Source organism: Homo sapiens, chromosome 15 (genome assembly GCF_000001405.40).
Source record: "Homo sapiens chromosome 15, GRCh38.p14 Primary Assembly".
Classification (NCBI taxonomy): domain Eukaryota; kingdom Metazoa; phylum Chordata; class Mammalia; order Primates; family Hominidae; genus Homo; species Homo sapiens.
The window spans coordinates 41029602-41042072 of record NC_000015.10 but is presented as its reverse complement, the minus strand read 5'-3'; the positions used below and the strand labels follow the sequence as shown (position 1 = coordinate 41042072).

Below are 12471 nucleotides of genomic sequence, written 5' to 3'. Positions count from 1 at the left end.
ACCTGCACTCCAGCCTGGGCAACAGAGCAAGATTCTGTCTCAAAAAAAAAAAAAAAATTAAAAATTAAAAATTAGCCAAGCATGGTGGTGGGTGCCTGTAGTCCCAGCTACTCAGTAGTCTGAGGCAGGAGAATCCCTTGAACCCAGGATGTCAAGGCTGCAGTGAACCCTGAGTGCACCACTGTACTCCAGCCTCAGTGACAGAGCGAGACCCTGCCTCAAAAAAAAAAAAAAAAAAGGAAATCTTTCCTTTCAGCCAAGCAAAATGATCGTTAGATATTATCCACTCTTAAAGGTTAGCCTAGGTTCTGAATAAAGAACTAGAAGCCGGCTGGGTACAGTGGCTCATGCCTGTTAATCCCAGTACTTTGGGAGGCCAAGGCGGGCAGAGCACCTGAGGTCAGGAGTTCAAGACCAGCCTGGCCAATGTAGTGAAACCCCGTCTCTACTAAAAAAATACAAAAATTAGCTGGGCGTGGCGGTGTGCGCCTGTAATCCCAACTACTAGGGAGGCTGAGGCAGGAGAATTGCTTGAACCCAGGAGGTGGAGGTTGCAATGAGCCAAGATCGCGCCATTACACTCCAGCCTGGGGAACAGGAGCAAAACTCCGTCTCAAAAAAAGAAAGAAAAAAAAAAAAAAGAACTAGAAGCTCCAGGTGTAACAATTAACAACAATGTAGAGGCTAGGCATCGTGGCTCATTCCCGTAATTCCAGCACTTTGGGAGGCTGAGGCGGGATGATCGCTTGAGCCCAGGAGTTAGAGACCAGCCTGGCCAACATGACAAAACCCCATCTCTACCAGAAAAATACAAAAATTAGCCAAGCATGATGCCGTGTACCTGTAGTTCCAGCTACTTGGGAGGCTGAGGTGGGAGGATTGGAAGGCTGAGGTGGAAGGATCGCCTGAGCCCAGGAGGTTGAGGCTACAATAAACGGTGATCCCACCACTGCACTCTGAGCCTCGGAGAGTGACAGAGTGAGACCCTCTACGTCTTTGCAGGAATGTGGCATTGTCTGTCTCTTCATTTAAACTTTGTTGGGTAGTGGTGTCTTATTATGTCTTTAGTTAAATTTCTCCTGTGAAAATGATATTGAATACCTTTTCTGGTGTTTATTGGCCATTTGGATAATTGCCTTTATGAAATGTTTGTTCAGAATTCTTGTTTATTTTTCTATTGGGCTGACTGTATTTTTCTTATGATTTGTAGTTCTTTGTATATTACAAATATCTTCTACTCTGTAACTTTCTCATTTTCAGTGGTACCTTCCCCTGCCCACCCTTTTTTTTTTGAAACAGGATCTGAATTGTTCTGTTGCCCAGGCTGGAATGCACTGATGCAGTCGTAGCTCAGGATTAGGGTTAGGTTAGGGTTAGGTTTGCTGTGTTGTTCAGGCCGGCCTCGAACTCTGGCCTCAAACAATCCTCCGGCCTCAGCCTCCCAAAGTGCTGGGACTTAGGCATGACCCACTGCACCCAGCCTCAATGTTGTCTTCTGATGAATAGTGAATAATTTTTGTGTCCTGTTGAAGAATTCTTTGCCTCCAACAAATTCGCGAAGATAATTCTATTTCTCTCCATATCCCGTTTATTGAAAAGACCATTCTTACTGGACTGTAGCATCACTTGTCAAGCAGGTGTCTATATATGTGTTGGTCAGTTTCTGAACTCTGTTCTCTTCCATGAACCCATTTGACTATCCTTGAACCAGTGCTACTCTATCTTAATAAGTACAGCTTCACGGTAAGTCTTGATAACTGGTGCACAGATCCTCTGACTTTGCATTTCTTCTGTATTGTTTTGGCTGTTCTTAGCCCTTCGTGTATTCATGTAAATTTTAGAATTGGCATATAAATTTTATTTTATCATATTTTCTTTCCTTTTTTTTTGGTAGCAGCAGGGTCTCACTATGTTGTGTCCAGGCTGGTCTTGAACTCCTAGGCTTAAGCAGTTCTCCCACCTTGGTCTCCCAAAGTGCTGCGATCACAGTTGTGAGCCCGTGTACTCGGCTAAATCTTATTTTAATCTCACCTCTTTTTAGCAGTCTAGGTAGTATAGGTCAGTAGTCCCCAAATGTTTTGATTATGTTCCTCTGTAATAACAACATTCGTACTCTATTTCTCCAATGTCTGTATGCTATTTTGTTTTAAATTATATACATGTATTCACATATTAATATTTACATTGTGAAGTTTACGTGTGCCTACCTTGGAAACCACCGATGTGAGCAGTTTATTTGAGTAGGGAATGGTGGTAGAGTGGAGACTCAGTGTTTACTACAGAAGATATTCCTGTGTTTTACATGCTGTACATTGTTTTTCAAACTATTTTAAATTATTTGACCTCAAAGGTCCGTGGAGGGCATGGATTTGTATATCGTAAGTGCTTATCGATTGAATGAATCTCCAGTGTAGACTGTGATCTTTGGGAATTGTCTGGTGCTTCTTTTTTCATTGCTCTAGGCTACCTTCAGAACAGCCTTTTCCCAATGTTAGTCCAGTCCAGCAAGGAGAAACATACGTAATTAATGTTGTTTACAAACATATTACTGCATACCACAGTAGGCAAAGTGTGTTAACAATCATTATCCCTGTGCTGTATTTGGAAGAGTCACTCATGCACATATTGAAAATATACACTCATGCTTAAAAACACACACACACACTGAATGTGGTTCAAGATAAGACTTTAAATACTACACAATTAACTGCCTGAGTAATGGTAGATAATGAATGGTAGAGTTCAGATGGGAGAAGATCACTTTATAGAAATAGTATTGTTAAATTGGATCTAGGCCAGGTGTGGTGTTGGCTCATGCCTTTAATCTCAGTACTTTAGGAGGCTGAGGTGGGAGGATTGCTTGGAGCCAGGAGGCAAGACCAGCCTGGGCAACATAGTGAGACTGTGTCTCTAATTTTGAAAAAGTTGGATTTTGAGTGGTAGAGATTTGGATAGGAGGAACATAATTCCAAGTTAAGGATTTGAGCCAAAATAAAGGACAGTAATGACAGAAAAGTCTAGAAGGGTAAGTTTGGAAAGTCTTTGAATGCCACCCTATGCGGGTTTAGATAATAAGCTTGTCGTCCCAGCCCTATTTGTCTTACTTTCTTCAACAGATGCTTAAAGTTGTATTCCTCGGGGTCAAGTGTTGGTAGCCAATGTGAAGCCATGAGAAGTAGTATTCTGGTAGCAGGTTCAGTAAGGCTGCTAAATTACCAGAGTCATTATATCAAACCAGTTGGGATCTTTGTTATTTGTATTTTATGAAGATTAACCTCAGAGTGTGATATCAGGAAGAATGGAGGCAGCAATCCATGTTAAGGCAGATGTTAAGCAAAAGTTTCAAGTGTCAGGTACTAAAGACCCGATAGCAATGGTTGTAACAGAAAGATTATAGAAAAGGGATCAAGGGACTTTGATCAGTTTGGATATGGATGGGCACTGGAGATGGAAAAATTACTTCAAAAAGCCAGAGTTCAAGAGAGGATCCAGAGGGAATCTTAAGTTCCATATCAAGTTTAAAGCAAAAACTAAAGAGTGAGATTAAGAACTCTTTGATTGTGAGTACAGATTAAAAAGAGAAGGCAGAAGCCCAGTTGTAAGGATTTTTAGGGAGAAAGATCCTGGTTAGGAGGTGTAGAGAATGAGTATTGAAGTGTGACAGTTAAAAAGTAAGGTATTTCAGGAGGGGAGTTTGGTTTAAGTGAAAGTTGACTTTTTTAAGAGAAAAGAGTCTTGCAGATTTCACAACGAAAAGGGAAGATGTCGGGTGCAGTAGCTCATGCCTGTAATCCCAGCACTTTGGGAGGCTGAGGTGGGCGGATCACCTGAGGTCAGGAGACCAGCCTGGCAAACATGGCAAAACCCTGTCTCTACTAAAAATAAAAAAAACTAGCCAGGCATGGTGGCCTGTGGCTGTAATCCCAGCTACTACGGAGGCTGAGGCAGGAGAATCACTTGAAAACGGGAGACGAAGGTTGCAGTGAGCTGAGATCATGCCACTGCACTCCAGCCTGGACGACAAAGCAAGACTCCATCTCAAAAAAAAAAAAAAAAAAAAAGAAAAGGGAAGAGGGGCAAGAGAGGCATTTGGTGGGGGTGCGCAAGTTGGTTAACTACACTTTTTTTTTGAGACAGAGTCTTACTCTGTCGCCCAGGCTAAAGTGCAGTGGCACAATCTTGGCTCACTGCAACCTCTGCGTCCCGGGTTCAAGTGATTCTCCTGCCTCAGCCTCCTGAGTAGCTGGGACTACAGGCGTGCACCACCACTCCAAGCTAATTTTTGTATTTTTAGTAGAGGTGGGGTTTCGCCATGTGGGCCAGGCTGGTCTCGAACTCCTGGTCTCAAGTGATCCTCTCGCCTCGGCCTTTCAAAGTGCTGGGATTACAGGCGTGAGCCACCACACCCAGCCCAACTATACTTTTTAATAGGATGAAAAACTCTTGTGAATACTGGCAGGCTGTATAATTAACAGAAAGCTATTTCTCTGCCACAAAGAATGTTTTAAAATGTCCAGAACAACTAACACTAAGCTTAACATTATTTTATTTAATTAATTAATTTTTTTGGAGATGGAGTCTTGCTCTATTGCCCAGGCTCGAGTGCAGTGGCACGATATTGGCTCACTGCAACCTCTGCCTCCTGGGTTCAAAGTAGTCTCCTGCCTCAGCCTCCCAAGTAGGACTGCAGACATGTGCCAACACGCCCGGCTAATTTTTGTGTTTTTAGTAGAGATGGGGTTTCACCATGTTAGCCAGGCTGATCTCGAACTCCTGACCTCAGGTAGTTTCCCACCTCAGCTTCCCAGAGTGCTGGAATTATAGGCTTGAGCCATCGTGCCCGGCCTTAAGCTTAACATTAAAAAAAAAAAAAGTCCTATTAAGTGGTTCTCTTTCTCTCTCTTTTTGTTCTTTTTTCAAGTGAGAAATCAATCTATTTTTAGTTTTTGTTTTGTTTTGTTTTGTTTTTTGAGATAGAGTCTTGCTCTGTCACCCAGGCTGGAGTGCAGTGGAGTGACCTTGGCTCACTGTAACCTCCACCTCCCGGGTTTGAGCGATTCTCTTGCCTCAGCCTCCCAAGTAGCTGGGATTACAGGCATCTGCCACCACACCTGGCTAATTTTCGTATTTTTAGTAGAGAGACGGGGTTTTGCCATATTGGCTAGACTGATCTCAAACTCCTGATCTCAAGTAACCGGCCTGACCTCAAGTAACTGGCCTGCCTCGGCCTCCCAAAGTTCTGGGATTACAGTCGTGAGCCACCGTGCCTGGCTAAAACCAATTTAAATGTTTGGACATTTTATATAATTCATCTTCCCTTTGTGGTCTGGTTATTTTGGGCACTTTTAAGGTTAAATAAGTGTTTGCTGAATGACCTAGTGAATAATGGCACATTATATTAATGCACCAGTATTAATATTAATAACAATATTGGTGGATTGGTACTAATCTTTGGAACATGGTATGTATTAATCTGAGGGAATGTCTTCTAGCCTAAAATTAAAAGTACAGTTTTACTCTTAATATTTTAAATAGAATTTTGTGAAGAGCACTAACTTCTAGGGGTTTAGGGAAAGTGGGCAGGATAGGTAATCTGTTTGATCATTCATTGATCTTATTGCACTTAGTTATTTTTGCCCTGCATTTGATCTGAGAACTAGAGGTGACACGTTCCTTGGGTAGTAAGGAACACCAGAGAGAAGTGAATCTATAGAAACTTGCAATAGAGGTTGCTAATGAGCTCAACTATGGATTTTAGCCCCTGTAGTAGTAGTTATATAACATGTTATCTTAAAACCTAGAGACTAAAACAATAAACACTTGATATCTCACACTGTTTCTGTTGGCTGGGAACTTGGGAGCAGCTTAGCTATGTGGTTTTTTTGGGTTTTTTTTTTTTTTTTTTTTTTTTTTTTTCGAGAGAGAGTTGCACTCTGTTGCCCAGGCTGGAGTGCAGTGGTGCGATCTCGGCTCACTGCAACTTCCGCCTCCTGGGTTCCAGTGATTCTCCTGCCTCAGCCTCCTTGAGTAGCTGGGATTACAGGTGTGGGCCATCATGCCCAGCTAATTTTATGGGTTTTTTTGTTTTGTTTTGTTTTGTTTTTAAAGCAGAGATGGGGTTTCACCATGTTGACCAGACTGGTCTCAAACTCCTGGCCTCAAGTGATCTGCCCACCTTGGCCTCCCTGAGTGCTCCGATTACAGGTGTAAGCCAAGGCGCCAGACTTTTTTTTTTTTTTTTTTTTTTTTTTGAGACAGAGTCTCACTCTGTCCCCCAGATTGGAGTGCAGTGGTGTGATCTCGGCTCACTGCAACCTCCGCCTCCCAGTTTCACGCCATTCTCCTGCGTCAGCCTCCCGAGTAGCTGGGCCTACAGGTGCCCGCCACCACACCCAGCTAATTTTTTATATTTTTTAATAGAAACGGGGTTTCACCATGTTGGCCAGGATGGTCTTGATCTCCCGACCTCGTGATCCATCTGCCTCGGCCTCTCAAAGTGCTGGGATTACAGGCGTGAGCCACCGCGCCCGGTCTTTTTTTTTTTTTAGAGATGTAGTCTTGCTTTGTCACCCAGGCAAGAGCGTAGTGGTATAGTCATGGCTCACTACAACCTCCACCTTTGGGGCTCAAGCAGTCCTCCCACCTCAGCCTCTCAAGTAGCTGGGATTACAGGCAGGTGCCACTACACCCAGCTAATTTTTGGATTTTGGCCTCAAGGGATTCCCCTGCCTCAGCCTCCCAGAGTGTTAGGATCAGGTGTGAGCCATCACACCTGGCCAAGGAATTTGTGGCCATATAAAACTACCACAGCCCCTTATTTCCATGCTGATCCCATTATATCAGATATTTCATTATGAAATTTGTTTTGGATTTCCTGTTCTGAGATTCTGGCTTAGACTGTAGATGGTTCTGACTGTAGTACTAGTTCTTAACTAGTTTTTCAACTAGAAAGGATTTTGGACTCTATCCTTGTGCTCTGTTACCCGTGTTTCTTCACAGCAAATGTTAGCTGGGAAAGATAGTAACTATAGTATAATAACGAGGTTTCATTTTCAGCAGGGATTCTTTACTCATAAACTCTTAACTCCTTGTGAGCATTTTTTTTCTTTTCATTGCAAGCTCTGTATTTTCATTTAATTTGCCACATTAGTTCTGATTATGTAACTTTAATTATTTGGAAACATAATGCAGAAGAGAAGCAGTTCTCCAGTGAAGACAAATTATGTTTCAAGGTTTTAATGGAAGAGTATGCAAGTTGAACCCAGATTCCATGTTCCAGATCAGTCTTAAAAAGTTTGGGGTTATTCTTCGGCCAACAAACCTGAGAAGAGACATGGGGAAATGTAAAAGTTGGAAGGGGTCTCATCATTCTTTTTCTTACGAAATTCAAATAATATTTTAGACTAAAGCTCCTTTGGAGCTAACAAGTTAGTTTTGAGTTAATTTCCCCATATTCAGCTTTGTCATCTTAAGGCAGAAAATTTTTCATTCTGTTTCCTTCTACGCCTTCATTTGTTGTATAAAGAGAGTTATTGTTCCTGTAGCCTGTCTCCTAAATATAACTTCCTATCATCAGATCAAGGTAAAGACTTTGTTTTTCTTCCTCTGTGGAGACAGATCAGTGTTCACTTAGCTACATGTTGTCATATTGGTCTTGGTAAGCTGTGTGAGGTCACATACTACCTGAGCCATATTCAGCAGTCTAACCCAGTCCTCCCCTTCTTCTCTTACTCCCCAGGGAAAGGAATGAATCCAAACAGTGAGAAGCTCTCTTCTCCTTACCTCCCCCAACCCCATAATGTGCCTATAAAACCCTTGCACTCACCCACCCTATGGTGAAGATAAAATATGAATTTTTTGTTACAGAATCCAAAGAAGTACCATTCTTGTATTATTAGCTTCAGGATGATACACATAAACATCAAGAAGCTAAGAACTAGGCTAAGGACACAGATCGGTTGATACTTAGAGGTGTTTTGGATAAAGTTTTGGGTTTTTTTGTTTGTTTTTTGAGACAGAGTCTCGCTCTGTCACCAAGACTGGAGTGCAGTGGCACCATCTCAGCTCACTGCAAGCTCTGCCTCCCAGGTTCACGCCATTCTCCTGCCTCAGCCTCCCGAGAAGCTGGGACTACAGGCGCCTGCCACCACGCCCGGCTAATTTTTTTGTATTTTTTTTTTTAGTAGAGATAGGGTTTCTACTCTAGCGTTAGCCAGGATGGTCTTGATCTCCTGACCTCGTGATCCTCCCGCCTTGGCCTCCCAGAGTACTGGGATTACAGGCGTGAGCCACTGCGCCTGGCCTAAGTTTGGGGTTTTTAAAAAATCTCTTAATTGATGTGAATACTTTTCAGAGATTTCCTTCTCTTATGTTTGTAGAACAAAAACTAGCATGGCTCCCTGTATTCTACTTAATTTTCTTGTGTTCTACCCTGCATTGCTATTAAGAATTTCAGGAATGAGTAGATTTGGGTCAGAACTTTCGCACACCTTCCCTGCACACTGTGGTACCTCTGGCCAGAGTTATTTTCTTACACTGTTTTGCAGTGGATAAAGAGTGTGATTTTGTTTGTTTGTTTGTTTTGAGACAGGGTCTCACTCTGTCTCTCTACTCAAGGAGGCTGAGGTGGGAGGATCCCTTGAGTCCAGGAGTTTGAGATTACAGTGAGCTATGATCACACTACTGCACCCCAGCCTGGGTAACGAGATTGTGTCTCCAAAAAAAAAAAAAAAAAATTCTGATTCAGGCAGCAGAGATAGAAAAATAAAATTTTATTTTGCTTAGAAGAATAAAGACAAAAAAGAGAGCCTGTCGTAAATATGCCATTTAGTTATCTTTCTTGGGGCAGAACAGATTTGAGTCTATTCCAATTAAATGTCATGTTAAAAATTAAAAATGATGGTTGGCAGACACAGAGTACAGTACCAGTATTGATTCTGTCTCCTGTCTGTCTCATTGAAACTGTTGTCATGGTAATGGTCTACTTATGCATAGTACGTGCTGAAAGTTTTTTTTGTTTGTTTTTTTGTTGTTGTTGTTGAGACGGAGTCTCTGTCACCCAGGCTGGAGTGCAATGGTGTGGTCTTGGCTCACTGCAACCTCCGCCTCCCGGGTTCAAGTGATTCTCCTGCCTCAGCCTCCTGAGTAGCTGGGACTATAGGCGCATGCCACCACCCCTGGCTAATTTTTGTGTTTGTAGTAGAGACGGGGTTTCATTATGTTGGCCAGGCTGGTTTCGAACTCCTGACCTCGTGATCCGCCCTCCTCAGCCGCCCAGAGTGCTGGGATTACAGGCATGAGCTACCACGCCTGGCCTGAACATTTTATATACTCTACAGTTCTAGTGAGTCAAGTGACTCCTAAAAATCGGGGGCATTTCAGATTTTGCAATTTAAAATACACAAAGGTTCTAAACATAGAGTTGTTTTGAAGAGAGTGGCATATGTTGAAGTTTTAAACACTATTCTGTATTAAATCCTTAGAGTTTTTTGACGGGCTATTGATTGAAGATTTCACCCCCCAAACAGGAAGTTTTCAAAAACTCTTCCACTAAATGTTAGTTTTCAGCTACAGTACCTGTATCTATATCATCATTTCCTGAGATCGTGAGTGCTGCAAATGCCCCTTATGGAAAGCTCTGGGAAACTATTGTGTTTCTCTGCATTAATTTTCCCTCTTTTTGTTTGGATGCTTAAAATATCCATGGAAATATAATCCGTATAATCTAAGAGCTGATTTATCAACACTGTGCTGTTTCATTTAAAGTGAAACTTTTTCCTCTGTATCTAAATTTGACATGCTCTTTAAGAAAAGATGTAGAAAGCTAATTTTGAGTACTGGAGACCTAAATTTTTAACATAAGCATTTTTAATTTTAAATAAAACATGTAGTACAAAGCATGACCTCTTATTAAATGAGTAAGTCTAGGTCTGAGGGAAAAACATCGGTGTGTTTTCTGTGCTGTGCTGTGCTGTGCTGTGCTGTGCTGTGCTGTGCTGTCCTGTGCTGTCCTGTGCTGTGCTGTGCTGTGCTGTGCTGTGCTGTGCTGTGCTGTGCTGTGCTGTGCTGTGCTGTCCTGTGCTGTGCTGTGCTGTGCTGTGCTGTGCTGTCCTGTGCTGTGCTGTGCTGTGCTGTGCTGTGCTGTGCTGTGCTGTGCTGTGGCAAGGAGTATGCAGCTATGGAGCCTGTCATCCTGGCCTATTTATTTTCACTTGAGACTTTTGTATGGTGCGAAAAGAGTCTTTAGAAAAGGCTGACTTCACTACTGTGTGCATATTATAGTCCTGGCGGCAAGACGCACACATCTGCCAGTGCTTCCGGGGTAATGAGACATTCAAGAGCATGAGAAAGGGACAGAAGAATAGCAAAAGCTGTGACCACGTGAAAACCAGGTCAAATTCCCCATAGTATGGCATTCTCCCTCCCTTCCTCCCTTCCTCCCTTCCTCCCTTCCTCCCTCCTCCCTTCCTCCCTCCCTCCCTCCCTTCCTCCCTTCCTCCCTTCCTCCCTTCCTCCCTTCCTCCCTCCTCCCTTCCTCCCTTCTCCTTCCTCCCTTCCCCTTCCTTCCTTCTCCTTCCTCCCCTCCCTCTCTCCTTCTCTCCCTCCTTCCCTCTCTTTTCCTTCCCCTCCTTTCCTTCTTTCTTTCTCCCTCTTCCCTTCTCTTTCACTTTTCTTCTTTCTTTCTTTCATGACCAAGTTAGACTAAAGAAGTAATGAACAAACTTTCTTTTCTATCTACAATATTGCTTAAGGTATTCTTTGTATTCTTCCATGTCAGGCATACATTTTTCTATATCTAGCAATGTCTAGCAGTTCATGTTGCTACATGAAGGGAAATTGGATAGTGTGGTGGTACCAAGGTTCACATATACTAAACCAGATTTGATGGAACTAATGTTAAGAGAAAAGAATCTAGAAAAGTATATATTGGGTAAAACATTCTAGGGGTAGTCAGGGTTTCTCTAAAGTTGAGGCTATATGTTGAGCATTTTGAACATAGTTATTATTTTTTAAAACCTGGAATCAGAAAGCTATACATCACCTTGACTTAGCAACTTCAATGAGAATACTATTTTAACCCAGCTCATAAAAAATAAGTGAATGAGCCAGGCACAGTGGCTCACGCCTGTAATCCCAGCACTTTGGGAGGCCAAGGTGGACGGATCATGAGGTCAGGAGTTTGAGACCAGCCGGGCCAATATGGTGAAACCCCATCTCTACTGAAAATACAAAAATTAGCCAGGTGTGGCGCACACCTGTAATCCCAGCTACTCGGGAGGCTGAGGCAGGAGAATTGCTTGAACCCTGGAGGCAGAGGCTGCAGTGAGATAAGATCACACCACTGTACTCCAGCCTGGGCTACAGAGTGAGACTCTGTCTCCAAAAGAAATAAAATAAAATAAGTGAATGTTGGCCAGGTGTGGTGGCTCATGCCTATAATCCCAGCACTTTGGGAGGCTGAGGAGAGGGGATCACTTGTGGCCAGGAGTTCAAGACCAGCCTGGCCAACATGGTGAAACCCCATCACTACTAAAAATACAAAAATTAAAGGCGTGGTGGTGCGCACCTGTAGGCCCACCTACTCAGGAGGCTGAGGTGGGAGAATCGCTTGAACCTGGGAAGGCAGAGGTTACAGTGAGCCGAGATCGCACCACTGCACTCCAGCCTGGGTGACAGAGAAAGACTCTGTCCCAAAAATAAAAATAAATGAATGTGTTCTAATTTGGGAATGACCACCCCTGGGAATAGAATTATTGCTAGTCAGACTTTTTCCAGAAAGGTAATAACAAATAATGTGCTTTGTTAAAAGAACTCCCTATGGTGAGTTGTATTCTTTTCTTAGTAATAACTACAGTGCTGAAGAGAAGATAATTGGAGGAAATGTTCATTCTTTTATTTTCTACCTTTATATTATTGGAACAAAGTAAGAAACAGGTTTCTGTTGAATTTTGAATTTTAGAATACTCAAAATGAAGATGAATTAATGCGATACCTGATAGAGACATTATTTAGTGACTGGTCTGTAGAAGTTAGTAAGAATTCAGAAGTCTTCAGGTCAGCTACTGCTGCTGCCTCAGCCATCTGCCCAGGAATGGTCTGATTGACAGTGGATGTCCCAGCTGGCAGCCCTGAACTACTACTTAGCTGGCGGTGATGAGCAGAAGTTGCTAGACTTGTCATCTCTCCTCCCCAGTGAGGGAGCAAGATGGGCTACTGCTGATGTCAGAAATGCACTTTCAGGAAACAAACAAAAAACGTGGCTACATCTTTTTACCTTTTTCCTCCTAATTATTCAGTATTGGAAGAACAGTCTGACACCTAGCCTGCTAATCTTTGTAACGATACTCATGTTAGACATTCAAGTGATAATGGGCATAAACATGTAGAGAGATAATGAACTTCAACGGAGATGCTACCCAAAATCAAGATGGGAACACAGATGTTATTGAAAAGCTGTCAGAATGTTAAAAT

At 42.7% G+C, this 12471-nt stretch overlaps 1 protein-coding gene across 6 annotated transcripts in view, besides 2 other annotated features; it reads left to right on the top strand.

The window, feature by feature from the left end:
• INO80 (INO80 complex ATPase subunit) overlaps window positions 1-12471 on the top strand; it is a 137401-nt gene that overhangs the window by 74208 nt on the left and 50722 nt on the right. The window lies entirely within an intron of this gene.
• Window positions 9562-10062: an enhancer, noted in NCBI's record as "OCT4-H3K4me1 hESC enhancer chr15:41324209-41324709 (GRCh37/hg19 assembly coordinates)". NCBI's record gives its function as "activates a minimal SCP1, AML or CMV promoter by ChIP-STARR-seq in naive H9 embryonic stem cells {active_cell/tissue: H9 hESC(naive)}" and the evidence as "EXISTENCE:reporter gene assay evidence [ECO:0000049][PMID:30033119]".
• Window positions 10063-10563: an enhancer, noted in NCBI's record as "OCT4-H3K4me1 hESC enhancer chr15:41323708-41324208 (GRCh37/hg19 assembly coordinates)". NCBI's record gives its function as "activates a minimal SCP1, AML or CMV promoter by ChIP-STARR-seq in naive H9 embryonic stem cells {active_cell/tissue: H9 hESC(naive)}" and the evidence as "EXISTENCE:reporter gene assay evidence [ECO:0000049][PMID:30033119]".